Source organism: Homo sapiens, chromosome 5 (genome assembly GCF_000001405.40).
Source record: "Homo sapiens chromosome 5, GRCh38.p14 Primary Assembly".
Taxonomy (NCBI): domain Eukaryota; kingdom Metazoa; phylum Chordata; class Mammalia; order Primates; family Hominidae; genus Homo; species Homo sapiens.
In genome coordinates, this window is record NC_000005.10 from 73,443,351 (window position 1) to 73,453,050 (window position 9,700).

Here is a 9,700-nt window from a genome sequence, read left to right on the forward strand (position 1 = left end):
TTTTGATAATAAATATATCCAGAATTCCAGTTCCATCAACAGAAAGTTTGGCCAAGAAAGAGCTGCCAAGTAGGGGCCAGACAAGTTGAGATGTGTAAACATACAGATGCTTCAGGGAGTGAAAAGTAAGAAGCGTCTTCACAATTTTTTTCCTTCATCTCCCCAGTTCCTTTTTTTCTTTTTTTAAGGGGAAGGGAAGTGGCCCTTAAATAAATGCATGGAATAGGATGGACAGGAAACACGTTGTTGAGAAGATGCACTAGCTTCTTATTTTAAAGAAATAAAATAATTACCCAATAAAGAAAAGAGAAATCAACCAAGGAACGATCTAAGGTCATGACACCATGTGTGGTACAAGGAGCAATTCAACCCATAAGGGCTTCATTACCCCCGCAATAGATAACATTTGGCTAAACCTAGCTGCAGATTAAATCTCCGCGCACAACAGAGCCCTGAATGGAGAGGCTCCTTTTTGTGTGGTCCTTCTCCGGGAGCTGCCTGAACCATCAGCCCCAATATATCCCTCTCCCTATTAACTGCAATTCCCTCCCGACTGAGCTTCGGTCATTTGTCTCGAGGCTCTACGGGGGCGTTTGATGAGCAGAGAAACAAGGAGAAGGGGAGAAAAGCGTCGGGTTAATGAGTTGTAGCAAATCCACACTTTGTAGTTGGGAGGAGGAGAGCTGGTGGCCAATGTTTGTTCAACTGGTTTATTTTTCGAGACCCAGCCTATTGAGGAAGGCTTGTTCAAGCAGGCTTCGTTCCTACAAACACACAAACATCCTTCTGTTTGCCTACAAAGAAAAGGGGACCAGCGCTGGATTTGCATGCGAATGAGGAGCCCCAGGAGGAGACGTCCTTGCCCATCAAAGGCCGCGGTAGCCTGGCGGCCCCGCAGCCTTTGTTCCAGCACCTGCTCGCCTGCACGGCCTGACGGGGCGCGCCCCGCGCTCCTGGCTCGCCCATCCAGGGTCCACGGCTCACTCGTCCCTCGCCTGCCCCGCGGCCCACACCTCTCGCAGCTCATACCTCACCCGCCCCGCGGCCCTGCTTCCCCCAGTCTCATCCTCTCGGGAGCAGGCCCGCAGGGTCTGCAAGGCCAAGAACGGAACCCCAAACGCAGAGGGTGGGGAGGTGAGCGGCAGGACGCAAAACTCGGAATCGAGGCGGCTTGGGTTTACACGTTCCTTTAGCTCTGGGCTCACGCTGCTCTCCACCTGTTTAAAAACAGGCTTGCGGTCTCCAGTGGGGGCGCGTGAAGCGGGATCCCAACCCCGGGCCCCGGAGCGAGGCCTGGATCGCCCTATGCCTTCTTGCCATTCTCTTAAATGCACTGACACCCCTGGAGGTGGGACCGGTCCTGGCACTTTTGAAGACGTGGGAATATGAACGAGAGACAAGATTAACCAGAATTCCCCGATTTCAGGACATCCACGCATCGCGCAAAAATTAAAAATACACACGGTTTTGTTCTTGGCTCTCTTCGTAATTATTTTCAGATCTAAATTTCAGATGCGTGCGTTACAGAAGGCTACCAGGCGCGCCAGCAGTGTCTGTGCCGTTTGGATTCCGCCTGCCAACCCCTCTCCACCCGGGGCGGCGCGTGGAGTCCGGACGTTCTCGGGTTCAATGACTCCTCTCTCTTAGCCGGGCTAGAGTAAAAGTAACTTTTGTATATAAGACTTTGGTCTAACAGTATTTCAATTTGTATCTATAGATTTAGTGGTAAGTTTGAGAGTGAGAGGGTTTAACCTCCTCCAAACATTTAACAAGGGTTGCGGGGACGGGGAAGAACTTCATTTGAGCCCGTGAGAGTCCGTTTTCTCCCTAAAAAGAGACAGGGCGTCATGAATGAGTATCATTGCAACATATTGACCCTATAATGCAGATTTCATTAACTTGGTAAGTTAAATCTGCGAATCTTCAGATATATACCTGTCCAGACATTTTAAAGAAATTGAATATTTAATCTCTGCTGCAAACACTAATGTTAGACATTTAAATTATGTGTTACATATGCCTAGGTTTTATTTGGAGCGCACAACATTGTAGTAATCAAAACTAGTGCCTCACTTTTTTTCAAAGAACTAGAAATTTCATGTAATAATTAAAAGACATTAAAAATTGAAAAAGATAAACCTAAATCACCTAAATTCAATAAATTAGTTCAATGAACACCTGATACATTTTCATTTTTTATTCTTTAAAGCATCCCAAAGTTGAAGGTTTATCTTAAATACCCTAAATTATTCACTTAAGCTAGAATTTCAATAAATTGGCCTTTTAAGAGAAAAACCTCTTTATACAATTACTCGCATTCCTTCCATCTGCAACATAGTAGCTGTAAATACTGGTACTTTTAAATATGATTTATTTCATATATGCAAATATGTCCTTATTTACGGCTTTGAAGCTCCTTAACTGATTATGATCTCTACTAATTTTTCCTATTAGAATTTTAAAACTAGACTGCCTCTTTGTTTCACTTCCATTACAACATATTATGTTGACAGTTTCTGCAGATATAATATTGTCGTGAACTGAGTGGAAATTAAATGAGGAAGGAAGCTCAAAAATGAAATGCAAAGTTCCTATAAAATTATCTTTGGGTACCTGTGGCTTTAATTTTAACATACTTCAATGCGCTTTAAAATGGCATAGAGTCAGATCTGAAAATGTATACCAAAGTAACTTATTTTATTTGTAGTCATTTAAAAATAATTTCTGATCTCCTACCATGGTTTTCACTTAGGAAGTTCAAGTGAAAAATCATGGCATGATGCTGTTGTTAAATTCTCTCTGAAAGTATTTAAGTCTGTTCTATATTGAGTTCCTGCTTACCCCACATAGAAAGTTTTTTTAAGTAGAAAAGAAAAACTAAGAAGGGGACAACTGAAGCCAATCATTTTGGTGAATTTTCTTTGAAAATTAAGCATTTTTATTTCTGAAAAAGTGTAAAAATCTTACATTTAGAATAGTACAATAATAATTGCCAGTAAAATTTACAATACTCCTTGTAAAGAATACGCAGTAAGTACAAAAAAATCCACACGTCTGTTATGATACAAAACACAGGTTGAAATAAATGATAATTTTGACTTTTTTTCTTGTGTAAACATGTTAACCATTTTTCCTTTTCATGAAAAAGTACACCAGACAAGTGTCCTCAAATAAAAAAGAATTGCTTCGCTGGCATTCTTCAAGACCTTTACTATTTTTGTATTATTCTTTTGACCATTATTTTTTAACGCCTGGACCTGAGAATCTCTACACCTCAAAAAGGCTTAGTTGTTTTTCATCTGCCAAACGTCAAGGGAGCCTCTAGTGCCTGGACAGGGCGGACTCCCTTCCCCGGCACCCTCTTCCTCCCTACCCCAGGTCGGGGGTTGGGGGGCTGTAGCATAGGTCGGCTTTGCATAAATAGAGGGACCCGCAGAGCCAAAAGGCGCGCCCGGGCTGTTGACAGTTTTGTCCGAGAATTCGCAGCGGCGAAAATGGGCGCGCGAGGTCGAGAGGGGCCGCGCCTGGAGGAGCGAACAAAACACCGAACCACCAAGACGAGAAAAGGAGCCGGGATTCCTACCTTCTTCCTCGAGCGCGCTAACATAGCGTTATTAACAATTGGAAATCCTAGCAGTAAAGTTCTCGACACTGGACAGGGCAGTCCCTTGGTGCAGAGTCCCCAAGGCGGCGGACGAGGAGACTGAGGAGGCGGCGGCGGCCGCGGCGGCCACGAGGGATCGGGTGAGCGCGGCCGCCGGGCCCACGGCCGCCTGCGCCGCGCAGCCTCCTCCGCTGGATCCGGGAGCTGGCGGCGCCGCCACCGGCGAGGGCGAGGGCGAGGCCTGAGCGGCGGCGGCGGCCTGCGCGGCGGCGGCGGCAGCGGCGGCCGGGCCCAAGCTGCCCCCGATGATGCTCTCGATGGAGAAGGGCGAGCGCGCCAGCGCTGAGGCGCCCGGGCCGCCCGCCTTGGCCGCGGAGGCCGGCAGGGGGCCGGGTAGGGCGGCGCCGAGCGGGTGCGGCCGGTAGCCGAAGGCGGTCCGGGCCAGCTCGGCGGCCGCGCCGTGCGGTGGCGGGGGCGGCGGGGGCGAGTGCGGGTGGAAGGCGGCGGCGGCGGCGGCGGCCGCTGCGGCGGCGAAGAGGGCCGAGGGCGGCGCGTAAGGCGGCAGCTGCAGGCCGTAGCCGCAGCCGTAGGGGCCGTAGCCGTAGGCATGCGGGGGCGGCGGGGGCGCGGGCGGGAAGAGCGCGGCGGCGGCTGCCGGGTCGCCCGCGCCCCCTGCGGCTCCCGCGCCGCGCAGCAGCAGAGACTCGGCGGCCGCGGCGTTGGGTGGGAGCAGCGGCTGCCGCTTGAAGCGCTTCCTCCGGCGCAGGAAGCTGCCGTTGTCGAACATGTCGGCGGACTCCGGGTCCAGCGTCCAGTAGTTGCCCTTGCCCGGGTTGCCGGGCTCGCGGGGGATCTTGACGAAGCAGTCGTTGAGCGAGAGGTTGTGGCGGATGCTGTTCTGCCAGGCGGGGAACTTCTCCCGGTAGTAGGGGAAGCGGCCGCTGATGAACTCACAGATCTCGCTCAGCGTCAGCCGCTTCTTGGGGCTCTGCAGGATGGCCATAGTGATGAGCGCGATATACGAGTAGGGCGGCTTCACCAGCGGGTTCTTGGCGCCGCTACCCGCGCTCCCGCCGCCGCCCGCGCCGCCGCCGCCGCCGCCCCCACCGGCTCCTGCCCCCGCCGCCGGGGCCGGGCCCGGGGGCGCCGGGGAGCCCCCAGCAGGCGGGGCCAGCAGGATGTCATCGTCGTCCTCCTCCTCCTCCAGATCCTCCAGCTCGTCCTCCCCGGCGTACGAGCGCCGCCGCCGCCGCCGCTGCGCGGGGACAGCCAGCCGGGGCCCGCCACCGCCGCCCTCGTCGTCGTCCTCCTCTTCCTCGTCTTCTTCGTCCTCGCCCTCCCCCACCACGTCGATGTCTGTTTCCTCGGCGAGGCCAGAGGCATCGGACATCTCAGTGCTCAGGGTCATAGCTGTGGCGCGGCGGCGGCGGGGCGGCGCATGGGGGCGCCGGGCTCCGGGCTCCCTCTGCGCCCCAGCCCGGGTCCCGGGCGGCAGGCCCGGCCGGGGGGCGCCACGCTGGGGGCGCTGCGACTGCGGCTGCCGGAGCTGCGCCGGGGCTGCCGGGTGGCGGCGGAGTCTCGCGCGCCGACTTTATAACTCCTGCGCCGCCGCGGTAGCCGCGCGGATGCTGCGCTCCCTGGGCTCCGCTCGCGCCCGGCCCGGGCGGAGGACTTGACCTTCTCCTCTCGGAGCAGCTTTTGCCCCGTCAGCTGAGGAGGGGGTGGCGGGGCCCGGGCGGGCGAATCAGAACGCCAGGCGCCCAGGAACGTGCGGGACGGGTGAGAGTCTAAGAACAGAGCTCGGCGAGGCCAGGGCTGAGTCCAGGAGAGGGCGGACCTTCCTCGGCTTATAGCAGAAGGGGGCCTGTCACATGGTGTGCACGTCAGAGCGCTGCCGAGGGAAGGAAAGCAAGCCTAGGAAATCAGCCCTTCTCGGGAGAGAAAATTCACCCGTAGGAGGGAGGCAGCAGCTGAGAAGAGTGGGGAGGAGAGGGGACCTCACTATTTCTTGCCAAAGAGGCTGATGCCCGAATTACGCGGCTGTCTGCACCGAGGGCCGCTGCACGAGTTAGACTTCCCAGCCTCCTCAATTAGTCCTCCACCCTAACCTCAGAAGCACACCCGCGACACTCTGGTTTGACCCCTCGACAGCCTGTAGGAGCCTTCCAGCCGGGGGATAACCACCCCATCCTCTGAGGTGGCCCCTGGGGGACGCTCTGGGGTCGGTTGGGGGTGTCCAGCCCCTCCAGATCGGGCGAGCGGCCCCCCATTGGATCTGATGCGAAGCCCCCCAATTTAAGCACGATAATAATTGTTTATTGACCCTTTAACCCATTCTCTTCGGTTTTACTCCAAAGACGTTTGTTTTCCGCCATCTGTTAATAAAAACGCTGTGAGACTGGCGTTTTACTCACTTCTCTGCGATTGAATGCCCTAGAGACTTGACAGTTAAACTAAGCCACTCTAATGAGACGATCTGACAAATGTCATGGGAATAAAGAACGTAATAATTGAATTCGGAGAAGAAATTGAAATTTTTAGTGAAAACCCAAATACACGCACAAAAATTGCACCTAGAAACTACTAAAAAGTTCGACCAGCCTGGCCAACATGGTGAAACCCCGTCTCTACTAAAAATAGAAAAAAATTAGTAGGCGGCGCCTGTAATCCCAGCTACTCGGGAGGCCGAGGCAGGAGAATCGCTTGGACCCGGGATGCGGAGGTTGCAGTGAGCCGAGATCGTGCCACTGCACTCCAGCCTGGGCAACAAGAGCGAAACTCCGCCTCAAAAAAAAAAAAAAAAAACAGAAGTTCGTTCATAATGGGGCTATATAGTTCTCAGTAGGAGGAACATTCTAGTCAGCACTTTGCATAGTAATCTCAAAATACTTAAATTACATAACATATACATATTTCTACTGAGGCTTATTAATAGAAACTATAATGATAGATGACTTTAAGATAAACTTTTTAAAAATGTGTTTTTGGAAAATCCTTAAATATTGTTAATCCTTTCTGGTGAGATGAAAATTTTTTTTATGAGATTAAAGTTCCGCTCAATTCAGTTTTCTTTTCGGGTGACAAGATAGTGGAAATAATTAAGATATGATGCTCTTTTAAATATACCTATCTTTATCACCAACTCAAACGAGCTATTTTGGCTAGTGGAAAAATCCTAATAGTTTGTTGAATTCACATTCACTTATTTGTGCATTTCCTAAAATGCTTCTATTTCAAAGAGGGGAGCTTGTCCCAAAAGTTTAACTTTCTGATTAAAATGACCCCTTGACAAGAACTAAGAATCAAAATTCAATGGCGTTCTGTAGGAACAGCCATCAGCTGCCCTTGTGTATATCATTTTATCGACCAAGTACTTTTCACATTCTGAAACGTGTCATTACTACCGCTGTCAATCACAGAGCCTCAGAAATAAACTGTTTCCCCATCTAAAGACCTCTATTAAAATCGAGTTTTTGTTGCTGAGGACTGCTACCACCAGTTACTCTTACAAGTGACCCATAAAGGCTATCATAGGTCTTTGAACAATCTATGAGAAAGCCTCGACGTTCTAAATAAATTATTTTTCATTAACTCTTGTTTGATATATGGGTGAACAATTTAATTACTGTAATAGGCTGAGCATTAACCTGAGCCAACATTAATCAGCACTATTAATCAGGCATCACATTGCTTTGTTGATGCAGCCAGGAGTCCTTACCAAGGAGTTCACTTTTACATTGGAAAGTTTAAGTTTTATAAGTACTCAGTCGATATCTAAATAAACACCATGACTTTCGCAGCACTGAGGGTTGGTGTGTGGCGAAGTTATTCAAAGATGAAACAGAGAGGAAGAATTTGTTCGCAGACCATTAATGACTTTAGATGACCGGTTACAGCCATCATTCCGTTCATGGCGCGGGAGATAGACTGCGTTCGTTTGTAACTTTGTCCGCAAGTTCTTCCCCCAAAGGGTTAAGAGGCTCTTCCCTGGAAACGTTTGCAGAATGTGGCGAATTATCTCCTGGCCACTCCGGGGAAAGTTTTAGGACTTACTGAAGGTCAGAGTGGAAGATCAGCCCAGAGGGACCGCTGCAGAGACGGAGAAGTGTCACTAAGATTTAGGCGAGCTTTACTGAAGCCCCACATGTGGATGTGACCACTTGTTTTGTTTGCTTAGTTAAGCTACATGTTTGTATGCAACCTTTAGCTCCGCAGTCGCGAAATTCCCCGAGCGCGGAAACTCAAGCGATTCACGTCTTGCGCGACCCCCTTGTCTCCCCCATCGTCCCCTACCCCGGGCCTCCTTCTCTACAGCGCTCCCAGCTTTCGGCCCCAGCTGGTAACTCTCCCCCGGCTCCCCGCCCCCAAGCTGGTACAAGGGACCAAAACCTTTCCCAGAGGCGAGCCGGGGAAGCGACGCGAAGACCCCCGTCCGGCGCAACCCGCTCGCGTGGACGCGGAAAGTGGCGGGCGGCGGGTCCCGGTGGTGCCTGCGTAGGGCAGAGTTGCCCCCTGGCGGCGGTGCGACGACCTGCGGGCCCTCGCGCCCGGGCCGGCAACTCCCTGGGAGCTCGGCCCGCGCGGGGAACTCGCCCAGCAGCCTGTGTTTCTCGAGTGTGGGCAGCCGGCTCCCGGGCGTCCCTCCCACCGGCTGCGGGGGCCCGGGACTGGGCGGTAGTGGAGGCAGGTCCTTGGACTGCAGGCTGAGGCTTTTTCCCCCCACGAGCGGTTTGGGCCCTCCAGGAGCCCCTGCGCGGGGGTCACGTGGATTACGCTAGGTGAGAGCCGGAGAGGCTGCGCCACCGTCGGGAGGCTCCCTGCCTCCGCCCTTTGTCCTTTGCCCCTGACCATGAGCGCCCCAAGCCCAGGGACCTCCTTAGGGGGATGAAGGCTGGAAGAGACCTGGGGGCTCAGACTTACGGGGAAGGAACCTAGGCTATTCCTTGTGCATCCCAGGATTTTACCCATGAACGTGAACATGAACGTGTTTTCAACCCCAGCGGTTCCCCTGGCGCCTCGACCCTCCTTTGAAGAGTCATTCTAGAAGGCTGTATTGCGATAGTGTTTGTACCTGTCACTGTGAGCCCTGAAAAGAGACAGAAGAAAACGCGAGTGCCTGGCCTGAGGGTGCTCCGTCCCGTGGGTAGCCAGGTAGGTAGTTATTCTGCCCGATGATGAGGTCCTCCTGACGCCCCCGCGAAAGGGAGGGATGCCGGGAGTCGCTGCCCCAGGGCCCATTTAGCCTTCGCTGTCCTTCCTTGGGGCTACAGGCATTTCCATTCCTGTTAAAATCAAGAGTGTGGGGGCCAAAACCTGGGCTCTGAGTTGTTTATTGTTTACTAGGGTAGTAGGGGAAGGGGCGAGTAGGGTTGTAAAATATACGTAATTTACCATTTTAATCATCTTAAGTGTATAGTTTAGAGGCATTAAGTACATTAACATTGTTGTGCAACTATTACCACTATCCATTTCCAGAACTTTTCCATCATCCGAAACTGAAATTTTGTACGCGTTAAAAAGTAACTCCCCATTTCCCCAACCATCTTTCTACTCCCCCCAACCTTTCGCCAGCCCCTGGCAACTACTATTCTACTTTCTGTCTCTATGAATGTATCTACTCTAGGTACATCATCTGAGTGGAATCATAATCACATTTGTCCATTGTGTCTGACTTATTTCTCTTAGCATAATGTCTTTAAGGGTCGTCCTTGTGGAAGCATGTATCAGAATATCTTCTTTTTTACGGCTGAATAATGTTCCATTGAATGTATATGCCACATTTTGTTTATCCATCCATCCATTGGTGGACATTTGGGTTGCTTCTCTTTTTCTGTTAGTTTTTGAACCTCCACTCACTTAGTTCTTTGTCTATTCTGCATGCAGTAGACACTGATAAAATGTTTGATATATTCATTTTCCTCTATCTTTTTCACCCCAGAAGCCCTCAAAGGAAGCCCATTGTCTTAACAGAGCATACACATTGGGGAAGTGAGGGGGGACGGTTTCTGCTGACAGAACAACATAAGGGGGATTCGCCCTTCTGGATTTGAAACCTCAACTTGTTCACAATTTTGAGACTTTCAGGTTCAGACTCTG

At 51.6% G+C, this 9,700-nt stretch overlaps 1 protein-coding gene across 1 annotated transcript, besides 3 other annotated features; it reads right to left on the reverse strand.

The window, feature by feature from the left end:
- Positions 273–1,176: an enhancer, noted in NCBI's record as "OCT4-NANOG-H3K27ac-H3K4me1 hESC enhancer chr5:72739450-72740353 (GRCh37/hg19 assembly coordinates)". NCBI's record gives its function as "activates a minimal SCP1, AML or CMV promoter by ChIP-STARR-seq in naive and primed H9 embryonic stem cells {active_cell/tissue: H9 hESC(naive and primed)}" and the evidence as "EXISTENCE:reporter gene assay evidence [ECO:0000049][PMID:30033119]".
- Positions 1,177–2,079: an enhancer, noted in NCBI's record as "H3K27ac-H3K4me1 hESC enhancer chr5:72740354-72741256 (GRCh37/hg19 assembly coordinates)". NCBI's record gives its function as "activates a minimal SCP1, AML or CMV promoter by ChIP-STARR-seq in naive H9 embryonic stem cells {active_cell/tissue: H9 hESC(naive)}" and the evidence as "EXISTENCE:reporter gene assay evidence [ECO:0000049][PMID:30033119]".
- Positions 2,916–5,427, reverse strand: FOXD1 (forkhead box D1). Its single transcript, NM_004472.3, has one exon. The coding sequence runs from the start codon at positions 5,010–5,012 to the stop codon at positions 3,615–3,617; it is 1,398 nt and encodes a 465-aa protein (NP_004463.1). The 5' UTR covers positions 5,013–5,427; the 3' UTR covers positions 2,916–3,614.
- Positions 8,027–8,236: a silencer, noted in NCBI's record as "silent region_16088". NCBI's record gives its function as "represses an Ori minimal core promoter by ATAC-STARR-seq in GM12878 lymphoblastoid cells {active_cell/tissue: GM12878}" and the evidence as "EXISTENCE:reporter gene assay evidence [ECO:0000049][PMID:35858748]".

Bases quoted from the DNA above. Each gene is read 5' to 3' on its own strand.
- FOXD1 (NM_004472.3), bottom strand. From the start codon at position 5,012: ATGACCCTGAGCACTGAGATGTCCGATGCCTCTGGCCTCGCCGAGGAA.